The 13,394-nt window shown below is 43.9% G+C and overlaps 1 protein-coding gene across 9 annotated transcripts in view, besides 3 other annotated features; it reads left to right on the top strand.

Annotated features, from left to right (window-relative positions):
- Positions 1–13,394, top strand: part of AFAP1 (actin filament associated protein 1) — a 181,149-nt gene that overhangs the window by 98,973 nt on the left and 68,782 nt on the right. For all 9 annotated transcript variants that reach the window (NM_001371091.1, XM_006713909.4, XM_047416061.1 and 6 more), the window contains one exon: positions 2,186–2,365. In NM_001371091.1, coding sequence (NP_001358020.1) covers positions 2,186–2,365 — 180 coding nt within the window. The remainder of the gene's footprint in view (positions 1–2,185; positions 2,366–13,394) is intronic.
- Positions 9,193–9,487: an enhancer, noted in NCBI's record as "tiled region #14367; K562 Activating DNase unmatched - State 9:DNaseU". NCBI's record gives its function as "activates a minimal TATA promoter and a strong SV40 promoter by Sharpr-MPRA in K562 cells {active_cell/tissue: K562}" and the evidence as "EXISTENCE:reporter gene assay evidence [ECO:0000049][PMID:27701403]".
- Positions 12,067–12,567: an enhancer, noted in NCBI's record as "H3K27ac hESC enhancer chr4:7830049-7830549 (GRCh37/hg19 assembly coordinates)". NCBI's record gives its function as "activates a minimal SCP1, AML or CMV promoter by ChIP-STARR-seq in naive H9 embryonic stem cells {active_cell/tissue: H9 hESC(naive)}" and the evidence as "EXISTENCE:reporter gene assay evidence [ECO:0000049][PMID:30033119]".
- Positions 12,412–12,521: an enhancer, noted in NCBI's record as "active region_21280". NCBI's record gives its function as "activates an Ori minimal core promoter by ATAC-STARR-seq in GM12878 lymphoblastoid cells {active_cell/tissue: GM12878}" and the evidence as "EXISTENCE:reporter gene assay evidence [ECO:0000049][PMID:35858748]".

The raw sequence follows: 13,394 nt of genomic DNA, 5'->3' as shown, positions 1-13,394 counted from the left end.
ACAGTTATTACATGTCGATTAAAAAGGTTTACACAATTTAAAATCAAAAAATAAAATTCCCTTTCCGATTCCTTCCATTGTACGATTAGTTGCTTTTCACCTTTCTTTTTATACATACTCAAAATGCAGAAAATCTCAAATGGTCAACATTCATAAAAATCTGAGGTTAGTTGAGGTATTTTTTTCTTCCTTTTCAGATCAGTTGAGTTTTTAAAAAGGGGATGTATTTCTTATCTGTGTACTTCAAAGTCCTGGATTTAGAAGACCAAAACAGGAAGGCTGGGCGCTGTGGCTCAGGCCTGTAATCCCAGCACTTTGGGAGGCTGAGGCGGGCGGATCATGAAGTCAGGAGTTCGAGACCAGCCTGGCCAATCTGGTGAAACCCTGTCTCTACTAAAAATACAAAAATTAGCCGAGTGTGGTGGTGCACGCCTGTACTCCCAGTTACTCAGGAGGCTGAGGCAGGAGAATCGCTTGAACCCAGGAGGGGGAGGTTGCAGTGAGCCAAGATCGTGCCACTGAACTTCAGCCTGGGCACCGGAGAGAGACTTCATCTCAAACACACACACACACACACACACACCCCAAAAACAAACCAGGAACACACACACACACACACACACACATCCCAAAAACAAACCAGAAAGGACTCTAGAAATCACTTCTGAAAATAACTATCTATTCATTCCTTCCTACATCAGTGAATGTTTAGAGTCAAGATGCAGGCTCTGCACGTGCACAATTGGGGCTGGAGTCCTGGTCTGGTCCTGGTCTGTCACTTTTCAGGTTGCCTGACTCTTCAGGCAGGTGACTTAACCAGCTGCACCTCGGTTTCATAATCTGCAGAATGAGCCACCATGCTGATTGAGGTGCTTGAAATGCCTCATATGATGTCGACATTCAGCACTTGGTAGCAGATGTTATTGTTGCTAATAACTTAATTCCATAAAATAATAATAACAATAACTGCAAAACACATTTTGCAAACGAGGAAACAGACTCAGGAAGTTTAAGAAACTCCCTGGGATGCAGATAAATTAGTAGTAGATCTAGGACCCAGATCTGCCCTCTTGGACTGTTAGGAGGTATGCTTTGGCCCCAAGTAGTACAGGTAAACAAACGGGGGTAAGGGAAGCTTTGGGCAATGATTTGATTCTCAGTTTTACAGATAAAGATTAAGCAAGAGCCATTTGAGTTAAGTCTCAGTTCTAACCTTACCAGTCGAAATCTTTAGAGTGAATGTCAGTTGTGTAGATGGATCAGCTTTGTATATTATACATTGCTGTTATCCTCTTACTAAAATAATTTGTGTCTTTCAGAAAGAGAAGATGAGATAGGCAGATAACAAGCAATATAGGTTATTAGATAAAGTATCCAAATTATTCCATTTTCTCTCATTAGGGCTGTGGAGTTGCAACAAATCTAATAGTATATTTTATATATTATTCACATAAATATAAATGTATTTTATATATACATTTAAATAAACATTTATGTTAAATATATATTTGTGTGTGTTGGGTTTTTTTGTTTTGTTTTGTTTTTCTTTGTTAGTTGGAGACAGAGTCTCTGTCACCCAGGATGGTGTGCAGTGGTGGTATTATGGCTCACTGCAGCCTCGGGCTCCCAGGCTCAAGGGATCCTCCTGCCTCAGCCTCCCAAGCAGCTGGGACTATAGGAACACGCCACCATGCCTGGCTAATTTTTTATGTTTTTGGTAGAGATGGGGTTTCTTCATGTTGCCCAGGCTGGTCTTGAACTCCTGGGCTCAAGTGATCCACCTGCCTCAGCCTCCCAAAGTGTTGGGATTACAGGCGTGAGCCATCGTGCCCAGCCTATGTTTTTATTTATGTAAATACATTCATGTAATTTAATGAAGAAGCCCCACCGGATCATAAACTGTATCAGAGTAGGGACTTTTGGTGTTTGTTGAATCCTGTGATAGATGCTCAGTAAGTTTTTCTGAATCAGTGAATGGATGTACTTTTTCACACTTGGAGGCGAAGTGTCTGTGAAGAGCACTGTGTGTATGTGTGTGTGTGTGTGTGTGTGTGAACCTGCTCATCTGCAGATTCAGACTTTCAGATGCCTTGCCCGCACTCAGGTTTTCATGATGCTAGAGCTTCCTCAGTGTTTCTGTTCGAACTCCCTTATAATATCAGTTGATTTGTTGTGTTGAATGCAGTGCTATAAAAGTTCCAAGGACCAGCAGCCTCAGATGGAACTGCCACTCCAAGGCTGTAACATTACGTACATCCCGAAAGACAGCAAAAAGAAGAAGCACGAGCTGAAGATTACTCAGCAGGGCACGGACCCGCTTGTTCTCGCCGTCCAGAGCAAGGAACAGGCCGAGCAGTGGCTGAAGGTAGGTTGTCTGCTGTGTTTCACAGCCATTTCAGTTCCACATGCCTTTCTGAGATCCATTTTAATTTTAATTTTAATTTTAATTTTGTTCAAGCATAGGCAAGATGGATTCACCCAAAGAGTTTTGTCTTTAATAGCTAAATATTCTGATGACATGGAGGTTAATCAGAAACCCCGCGTCACTTTCACTCTTATCTTTAAAAGGCAGCTTGTCTCTGTTTGTAGGCTGCTTCGACGACTTTCTCTTTTATTTTCCACAGTGTCACTTTATTGTGTCTGCATATGAATTCTTTTTAAATTTTATTCTGGTTGGGATTGGCTGGGCTTCTGAAATCTTGTGGATTTTTATCTTTCTAAGTTTGGGAAAATTTTTTCAGCCATTTTCTTAAAATACAGCTTTTCCCCATTTCTCCTTCTTCCCTGAGACTACATTTAAATATATGTTAGACTTTCTCACTATATTTACTTCTGGTTTCTTTTTGTATTTACCAACCTTTTTTCTTTGTTTGTTGAAACAAGGCTTGGCTCTGTTGCCCAGGCTGGAATGTAGCGGTATGATCGTGGTTCACTGCAACCTCTGCCTCCTGGGCTCAATCGATCCTCCCACCTCAGCCTCCCAAGTTAGCTCGCATGACATGCCACCATTCCTGGCTAGTTTTTGTATCTTTTCTAGAGACAGCATTTCTCCATGTGGCCCAGGCTGGTCTCAAACTCATGAGCTCAAGTGATCCGCCCACCTTGGCCTCCCAAAGTGCTGGGATTACAAGTGTGAGCCATCGTGTCCAGCCCTAACCATTCTTTTTTCTTCTTTAGTCTGGTTTATTTTTCTTGTTCCTTTCCAGCCCATTATTTCTGTCTTTGGCTGCTTCTAATCTGCTATTAAATGTGTTCCTGTTCACTGGGTTCTTAATTTTGGTGATGGTAGTTGTCTTAGTCTACTTGGATTGCTCTGATGAAATATGATAAACTGAGTGGCTTATTTATAACAAATGTATTTCTCACGGTTCTGGAGTCTGAGAAGTCCAAGATCAAGGGACCGTTCTATTCAGTGTCTGGTGAGGGCCTGCTTCCTGGTTCACAGATGGCATCTTCCATCTGTGTCCTCATGTGGCGGAAGGGACAAGGCAGGTCTCTGGGGCCTCTTTTATAAGGGTACCAATCCCATTCATGGGGGCTCTGCCCTCATGACCTAGTCACCTCCCAGAGGTTCTGCGTCATAACACCATCCTCTTGAGGGTTAGGATTTCAGGATATGAATTTGGGGGAACACATTCCGTCCATGGCAGTAGTGTTCAGTCCTAGAGTCTCTAATCTTTTTGGTTTGTTTTTGTTTTAGAGTTCATTTTGGCTTGTATCTAGAATTTCTAGTTGTTTCTTCTTCAGGCTGGAAATACTATTTGTACATTGTTAAATTTCTTTTAGAAACGTTTACTTGACGTTTATCTTCATAAATGTCATCAGCATGGTGGTTTGACAGTGGTTTTGGTGGAGTTTGAACCTGGTTCTGTTGTCTGTTGTGCTGTACTTGTTCATGTCATTTTTGTCATCCTTGTGCCAGGTTATCTCAAGTTCACGCTAGGCATTATATTAGGGGAAAAATTATTGAAATCTTTTTTTATAACAGCTTTATTGAGGGATAATTCACATACCATAAATTCACCCTTTTCAAGTCCAATTCAGTGGTTTGTGTTTTTTTTTTTGGTATATTCACTGAGTTGTGCAGCCATCACCATAGTCTAGATGCTGAATTTCGTCGCTCCAAAAAGAACACTGTACTGGCTGGGCGCAGCGGCTCATGCCTGTAATCCCAGCACTTTGGGAGCCAAGGTGGGCCGATAGCTTGAGCCTGGGAGATTGAGACCAGCCTAGACAACATGCAGAAACCCTGTCTCTGCTAAAAGATACAGAAAATCAGCCAGGCATGGTGACACGTTCCTGTAGTCCCAGCTACTCTGGAGACTGAGGTGGGAGAATCACCTGAGCCTGGGAGGTTGAGGCTGCAGTGAGTTGTGACTGCGCCACTGTACTCCAGCCTGGGTGATAGGAGCGAGACCCTGTCTCAAAAACAAAGAACGCCATACCCATTAGCAGTCATTGCCCTTTTGCCACCACCCCTGTTCTTCTTAGGCAGCCACTTACCTGCTTTCTGTCTCCGTAGAGCTGCCTGTTGTCAGCATTTCACAGAAGTGGCTCTTACAGTACTTGGGCTTTCGTGGCTGGCTTCTTTCATTTAGCGTCGTGTTTTCAAGGTCCGTCCATGTTGAAGCAGATTTCAGTTCTTCCTTGCTCTTTATTGCTTCTTGGGTCATATGTAAGAACTGATTACTTGGATCCAGGGTCCTGAAGGTTTACATGTGTATTTTATTCTGAGAAGTTTACAGTGTTAGCTCTTACATTTAGATTTTTGATCCACTTTGATTTAATTTTTTGCATACACTGTGAAGTAGGGGTCCAACTTCATTCTTTTTCACGGGGGTCCCCAGTTGTTCCTATGGAAATAACTTGATTCCTAGAACTCTGCTTTCCACTACCAAGGAGCATTTTCCCTTGCCTCTCCCGCACACTTGGGGGTGTTAGCGCTCCAAAATTAGTTTATTCTCAATTCAGGGTTTGAGGTTTTCAGCCACCCAGGTAACCTTAAGGCAGCCCTCAGTCCATTCAAGAGCCACCCAGGTAACCTCAAGACAGCCCACAGTCCATTCAAGAGCCACCCAGGTAACCTTGAGGCCGCCCGCAGTCCATTCAAGAGCCACCCAGGTAACCTTAAGGCAGCCCGCAGTCCATTCAAGAGCCACCCAGGTAACCTTAAGGCCGCCCGCAGTCCATTCAAGAGCCACCCAGGTAACCTTAAGGCAGCCCGCAGTCCATTCAAGAGCCACCCAGGTAACCTTAAGGCAGCCCGCAGTCCATTCAAGAGCCACCCAGGTAACCTTAAGGCAGCCCGCAGTCCATTCAAGAGCCACCCAGGTAACCTTAAGGCAGCCCGCAGTCCATTCAAGAGCCACCCAGGTAACCTTAAGGCAGCCCGCAGTCCATTCAAGAGCCACCCAGGTAACCTTAAGGCAGCCCACAGTCCATTCAAGAGCCACCCAGGTAACTGTAAGGCAGCCCGCAGTCCATTCAAGAGCCACCCAGGTAACCTCAAGACAGCCCACAGTCCATTCAAGAGCCACCCAGGTAACCTTGAGGCCGCCCGCAGTCCATTCAAGAGCCACCCAGGTAACCTTAAGGCAGCCCACAGTCCATTCAAGAGCCACCCAGGTAACCTTAAGGCCGCCCGCAGTCCATTCAAGAGCCACCCAGGTAACCTTAAGGCAGCCCGCAGTCCATTCAAGAGCCACCCAGGTAACCTTAAGGCAGCCCGCAGTCCATTCAAGAGCCACCCAGGTAACCTTAAGGCCGCCCGCAGTCCATTCAAGAGCCACCCAGGTAACCTTAAGGCAGCCCGCAGTCCATTCAAGAGCCACCCAGGTAACCTTAAGGCAGCCCACAGTCCATTCAGGAGCCACCCAGGTAACTGTAAGGCAGCCCGCAGTCCATTCAAGAGCCACCCAGGTAACTTTAAGGCAGCCCGCAGTCCATTCAAGAGCCACCCAGGTAACCTTAAGGCTGCCCGCAGTCCATTCAAGAGCCACCCAGGTAACCTTAAGGCCACCCGCAGTCCATTCAAAGGCAGGTTTATATTTGTTTCAGTTCACTCTTAACTCCAAGTTACATTCCGTTGGGGTCTCCATCCTGCTTATGGGTATTTTGCCAGGGACCCCCTCTTTGGCATGCCCTGGACTACAGCTTGGATCTCTCTTCCCACTGAGCCATTGGAGGTTCTGCCTTGCCCCTCAGCTGCCCCCTTGGGGTAGCAAGGCAGTCCCAGCCACCAGGCTTCCCTTCTGAATTTCCATCTTCTTCTGGATTTTGGCCCAGGCCTTGCTTACTATCATAGTAGCTGCCTTATGCTTTCGGAAAGATGCTTCCTCTATTTTATCTTGCTTTTTTTTGAAAAAAATTTTTTTTAAATTTCCATAGGTTATTGGGGAACAGGTGGTGTTTGGTGACATGAGTAAGTTCTTTAGTGTTGATTCGTGAGATTTTGGTGCACCCAACAGCGAAGCAGTATACACTGCACCCAGTTGGTAGTCTTTTATCCCTTACCTCCTTCCCACCCTTTTTCCCTGAATCCCCAAAGTCTATTGTGTCATTCCCCACAGTCCACTGTGTCATTCTTATGCCTTTGCATCCTCATAGCTTAGCTCCCACTTATGAGTGAGAACATACAATGTTTGGTTTTCCATTCCTGAGTTACTTCACTTAGAATAATAGTCTCCAATCTCATCCAGGTTGCTGCAAATGCCATTAATGTATTCCTTTTTATGGCTGAGTAGTATTCCATTGTATATATGTGTGTGTGTGTGTGTGTGTGTGTGTGTGTGTGTGTATGCCACAGTTTCTTTATCAACTTGTTGATTGATGGGCATTTGGGTTGGTTCCACATTTTTGCAATTGTGGATTGTGCTGTTATAAACATGTGTGTGCAAGTGTATTTTTTTTATAATGCCTTCTTTTCCTCTGGGTAGACACCCAGTAGTGGGATTGCCTGATTGAATGGTGCTTCTACTTTTAATTATTTTAAGAAACCTCCAGGTCGGGCGCAGTGGCTTGTGCCTGTAATCCCAGCACTTTGGGAGGCCGAGGCAGGCAGATCACAAGGTCAGGAGATCGGGACTATCCTGGATAACACGGTGAAACCCTGTGTCTACTAAAAATACAAAAAACTAGCCAGGCATGGTGGCACGTGCCTGTAGTCCCAGCTGCTTGGGTGGCTGAGGCAGGAGAATTGCTTGAACCTGAGAGGAGGAGGTTGCAGTGAGCCAAGATTGCACCACTGCACTCCAGCCTGGGTGACAGGGCAAGACTCCATCTAAAAAAAAAAAAAAAAAAGACATCTCCACACTGTTTTCCATAGTGGTTGTACTAGTTTACATTCCCACCAGCAGTGTAGAAGTGTTCCCTGTTCACCGCATCCACACCAACATCTACTATTTTTTGATTCTGGTCGTTCTTGCAGGAGTAAGGTGGTATCACATTGTGGTTTTGATTTGCTTTCCCTGATCATTGGTGATATTGAGCATTTTTTTGTATGTTTGTTGGCCATTTCTATAACTTCTTTTGAGAATTGTCTGTTCATGTCCTTAGCCCACTTTTGATGGGATTGTTTGGTTTCTTGTTGCTAATTTGTTTGAGTTCGTTGTAGATTCTGGATATTAGTCCTTTGTGGGATATATAGATTGTGAAGGTTTTCTCTCACTCTGTGGGTTGTCTGTTTACTCTGCTGACTGGTTTTGCCATGAAAAAGCTCCTTAGTTTAATTAAGTCCCAGCTATTTAACTTTGTTTTTATCACATTTGCTTTTGTGTTCTTGGTCATGAAGTCCTTGCCTAAGCCAATGTCTAGAAGGGTTTTTCTGATGTTATCTTCTAGAATTTTTATAGTTTCAGGTCTTAGGTTTAAGTCGTTCATCCATCTTGAGTTGGTTTTTGTACAAGGTGAGAGATGAGGATCCAGTTTCATTCTCCTACATGAGGCTAGCCAATTATCCCAGCACCATTTGTTGAAAAGGGTGTCTTTTCCCCACTTTATGTTTTTGTTTGCTTTGTTGAAGGTCAGTTGACTGTAAGTATTTGGGTTCTCTATTCTGTTCCCTAGGCCTATTTGCCTATTTTTATACCAGTACCATGCTGTTTTGTTTTGATGACTATGGCCTTATACTGTAGTTTGAAATCAGGTAATGTGATGCCTTCCTTTGTTTGTTCTTTTTGCTTAGTCCTGCTTTGGCTATGTGGGCTCTTTTTTTTTTTTTAACATATGAATTTTAGGATTGTTTTTTCTAGTTCTGTGAAGAGTGACGGTTATCTTGCTTTTCTAATTGTCTTCATCAGGAAGATTGGCCCAACCCACCTAGTCCATCGTTGCCGGCAAGTACCTGTTGTGAGAAAAGGGCTCAGGAGTGGGGTGGGAAAACCTGGTAGAACACTTCATAGCAGAAGGTCTTATACTACACAGGTCTCCCTCCATCAAACCTTCAGTCTCTTTCGCTGTCATCCGCAGGAAAGCATGTGGTTCTGACCCCATGACAAGAGCAGTGGCTCCCACCGCTGTCTGCCAGCTGCTCAGGACACACAGATGCTTTTTTTTTTTCATGTTATTGGCAGTGGCTGAGGCTCTTCCCACATCTGTATCATACGGGAGATTCAGGAGAGCTTTTTTCCCCTCCAGATGATCCTTCTGGAAGTCCTGTGATTGGAAGTTTCTACTGTCGAGCTTACTTAGCCTTCCCAGCATGGAACTTTAATATGTTATACATCAGCCACCACCATTACCAATTTCACTAAAGCCCTTTACACTCACAAGGGACTTCTCTGCCATCATTGCTTCTTAACCTCAAAGCAGGCGTGTGTAGTTTCATTTGTCAGCTGACAGCCTGAGTCTCAGGTGGGCGAAGTGCTACCATGATCCATAGCGATCAAGCAGGGGGTCTAAGTCAGGGTTTCCTGGCTTCACATTTCATTCTCACTGTGTTGGGCCATCTGACAGTTTGCCGTTCCCTCTTTTATTCCACATTTCTATGACCATAGTGCCATCCCTTCCGTAAGGAGGGAACGACAATTATGGAATTCAGTGTGAAGCTTTCTGTATGATTCTGTTTTCTTCACCCGATCCCATGCTTTTGGTCACCTGTACCCATCCTTCTGCGTTCTGTGCTTAGCTCTTCCTCAGTGGAAACCCAAAAAAGGCCGCTCTGAAATTTCAGCTTTCTTCTTTTTCTCCTCTGTCCTTACAGTTAGTTAAGTATTTCCTGCACACTGAAGAGCAGCCCCCTTCTTGCTGGTGCTGGTCTGACATGAAGTCATCCTGGAGTGTCACTGGGAGAGGGCGTAGAGCCGACAGTGCGCTGACAAACAGACCAGTAAAAACAAAACTTTCTCAAGATGTCAGACGCTGATGGGGTGAAATAATCTTGTATCGTGTTTCACCAGATGGGAGCTACTTATAGATCAGAGGCACTTAGCTAATTATAGAATGATGACTCCATTTATGAACGGAAGTTAATTGCAAGAATTTTTTTTTTTTTTTTTTAGCATTTGCTGATTTTTCTTAAAAGGAAAGTAAATAATACGGGGTAAAGTATCTTTTCTAAAGAGTTTAAATTGTTCAGTTACTCTATTTTTCATGTCTGTGATGTTACTTCCAGTACATATAATGGTACAGGAATCTAAGAAGTCTTGATTAGAAAGGAAAGTCAGATGACAAAACTAGTTTCAAGCAGTTACAGAATTATCTTGGGCCAGCAGAGACTTGAGATGGGCTAGTGTAGTTTCTTCCAGATACTGTCATTAGATCAGAAACACTTAGAGATGTAAAAAACATTGATTCCCAGTGATTCAGATTTATTAGGGACTTAAGAATCTTTTTTTCCCTTTTTACTTTGTATTATTTTTATATCCTTTTAAGGTCTAAAATGCTACAGATAGAATTGAAACATGCCTCCCCTATTTAAGTCTCTCTCCCTTCCCAAAGGCGACTTTTATCTGAATTTGGTCTTTATTATTATCTTGGTATGCTTTTAAAAAAATACTTTCACTTCTGTAATCCCAGTGCTTTGGGAGGGCAAGGCGGGAGGATCACTTGAGGCCAGGAGTTCAAGACCAGCCTGGGAAAAATAGCAAGAGGCTATCTCTATAAAACATTAAAAAATTATCTGAGCATGGTGGCATAGCCTATAGTCCCAGCTTCTTGAGGGGCAGAGGCAGGAGGATCGCTGGAGCCCCAGGAGTTTGAGGTTTCAGTGAGCTGTGATTGGGCCACTGCACTCCAGCCTGGGTGACAGAATGAGACCTTGTCTCTAAAGATAAATAATAATAATAATAATAAAACCTTTCACTTATATGTGTATATAACCATTCAAGGTAAATGATACTTTATTCATGTTTTAGAATTTCTGTGTAAATGGCTTCAAACTCCACAAACCCTGCAGCTGTTTTTTCTCACTCAGAATTATCTGCTTCTGATGGCCACTTTTTGTGCTCACGGGCTGTTGCTACTGCAGGCCGAGGTGCCGTGAGGTCTTCCAGCACATGTCCCACAGCCTCGCGTTTCTTGTCTTCTCTAGGACGCTCCTGTTACATTGGAATTGCCTTATTTAGTATGTGCACACCTTCAGCATCACCAACTCTGCCAGATTGTCTTCCAAGATTATTTGTACAATTCCCTTCTCCCAGCGGTGCAGGAGAGTTACTATTTTGTATGTATTCTTTCAGAGTTTCCTTGTACATAGGCAAGCAAATAGCAATGCAGATTTCATCTGCTTCCCCCTCGCCCCGCCCCATAGAAAGGGTGCAGCATTTTGGACCTTGTTTTTTTTTTTCCACCTAAACAAAGTATCCTGGAGATTTTTGCAATTTAGAGAATAGAGCACTTCCTCTTTCTTTATTACAGGCTATAACATTTTATTGTATGAATAGACCATACTTCAAAAAGATAGTCTGTCTCCCATTTATGGACATTGGGTTGCTTTCAGTCTTTTGATATTACAGACAATTCTGTATTAGATAACCTTATGCTTATCTCATCTCACACTTTTGCTGGTCTGTAGCCTAAATTCTCAGAAAGAGTAATCACTTCCATGAAGGTTATCAGCATTCGTATTATAATTTTGATGTATAGCTAAGGCACTCTCCTAGGAGGTTTACCAATTTTCCCTCCCACCAACAATATATCAGAGTGCCTTTTCTTCCTGTAGCCTTGCCAATAGAGTGTGTTAGCCAACTTGTGAGTTTTTGCTAGTCTGATGTGGAAGGATGGTATCTCAGTCTAGTTGTAATCTGCACTCCTCTTATTGTGAATGACACTGAGTATTTTTTATAGGGTTTAAGAGCCTACAGTTGTATCAGTATTTCTGTGAACTGTGTTTATATCCTTTGCTGTTTTTGTCTGTATTCTTTGCTTATAATTCTCTTTTTAAGGAGTTCTCAGATGACTGAGGCAAAGCCAGGTTTGGTAATAACTACCCTTGCTCAGCACCCCCATTTCCTTTTAAGAGGAGGCCTCAGGGAAGTGGTAGGATATCAGAGAAAATAAGTCTTTTTGTAGTCAGATAGGCAGTTAGGGTAAATGGCATCCCACAACCACTTTGAATAAAGTTTTACTTGATTTTTATAATTGCTTCTTAAGTTCAGCATAATATAACACAGCCAGGAAAAGGACTTGGGAGCCAGTATTGTGTGGAGAGATAGTGTATTAGTCTTCTCATGCCGCTATGAAGAAATACCTTAGACTGGGTAATTTATAAAGGAAAGAGGTTACATTGACTCACAGTTCCACATGGCTGGGGAGGCCTTGGGAAACTTACAATCTTGGCAGAAGGGGAAGCAAACACGTCCTTCTTCACATGGCAGCAGGAGAGAAGTGCGGAGCAAAAGAGGGGAAAGCCCCTTATAAAAGCATCAGATCTCCTGAGAGCTCAGTAACTATCACGAGAACAGCATGAAGGTAACCGCCCCCATGATTCAATTACCTCCCACTGGGTCCCTCCCATGAGACATGGGGATTATGGGAACTACAATTCAAGATGAGACTTGGGTGGGGACACAGCTAAACCATTTCAGACGGTATAGGTAGAGCACAGACTGGAGTCAGACTCCTGGGACTATGACCTGAGCCCTAGCTGTTAGGCACTGTGTTTCTTGGACAAGCTATGTGACTTCTCAGTGCCTCTGTTTCTTCATCTGTAAAGGTGGGTATAATAATGGTATCTGCTTTCTAGAGCTATTGTGAGGACGAGATGCTAAGACAGAGTGTTCACAATGGCAGAAAGCATGTCATGAGCCTTACATAAGTAAAAGCTGCTCTTACCACTGTTGCTTTTCCTCTGCCACCACCTCTGCATCTCATTAGGCTCCGCATACGCCTGCAGAGAACAGGCCGGATAGCTGATGACAGCAGGATGTTTCTGGGGGCAAGAACTGGACTTACATCACCGCTTCCCACACTCCTTTGGCCAAACTGTGGGGGAGGCTGAGAGACAGACTCTTCCTGTGTCTGCTGAAAGAAGAAACCACATGGTGAATAAGCTGCTGTCTCGAATTTCAAAATAAACCAAAACACCCTAAGGCAACCATCTTAAGCAGTTTTGAAAATGCTGCTTTCCTTTTCTCATCAGGACGTAGCAGAGTCCTGGTGCTGGTGGATCCCAAGTTCACATAGCCAGCCGGGGGGCGTGGGGGCGACGCTATAGGGATTTCTTAGCATCTTGTGGTTTCAAGCAGCCCTAGGTGAACACAGAGTGGCTTTAATGTGCTGTGCAGGTACCATAGTGGCTTTGCCAGAGTTCTCAAGGAAGAACCACAATATGTTTACTGTATCCATTGTCCTTGCAGAACCTGAATCCTGTGGACACCCACATTTGAAGCCACGTCTTTAATATTCACCGGGCTGAATTCACCTTCCACATGCCCTTCATTTCCTCCTGAAGATTTGGGTGTTCAGTCACTTTCATTTCCTTTTACCCCAAAGAAGTTATTAAAACAAAATTTTAAGAAACCTTTTTTTATACAGCGAATCTTCTGGAAGTCAACTCTCGGAGCCTTGACTGTCTGGAAGGGTCTTCATTTCTCCCTCGCTCGGATGAGACGTCACCCGCCCTTTGTGCCCATTGGTCCTCCGGGTGTGGAGTGTCCTTTCCCGCCTTCCTCCTCTTAAGATTTGTTCTCCACATCTGGTTTTCAGCAGCTGACTGCGATGTGTCTCAGTGCGGTGGTGTGGGTTTTTCTCTTTCTCAGGGTTGGTTGTGCTTCTTTGTTCTATGGGTTGGTGTCTCTCAAAAGCTTCACTTGGGGAAGCTTTTGGCCGTCCTCTCTTGCCTCATTTTTCTCTCCTCTCCCTTTTTTTTTTTTTTTTTTTTTGGAGACAGAGTTTCACTCTTGTTCATGCTGGAGTGCAATGGCACTATCTCTGCTCACCGCAACCTCCACCTCCCG

The sequence above is a fragment of the Homo sapiens genome, chromosome 4 (assembly GCF_000001405.40).
Source record: "Homo sapiens chromosome 4, GRCh38.p14 Primary Assembly".
Classification (NCBI taxonomy): Eukaryota; Metazoa; Chordata; class Mammalia; order Primates; family Hominidae; genus Homo; species Homo sapiens.
The sequence above is the reverse complement of the archived record's forward strand: the minus strand, read 5'-3'. Positions and strand labels throughout refer to the sequence as shown.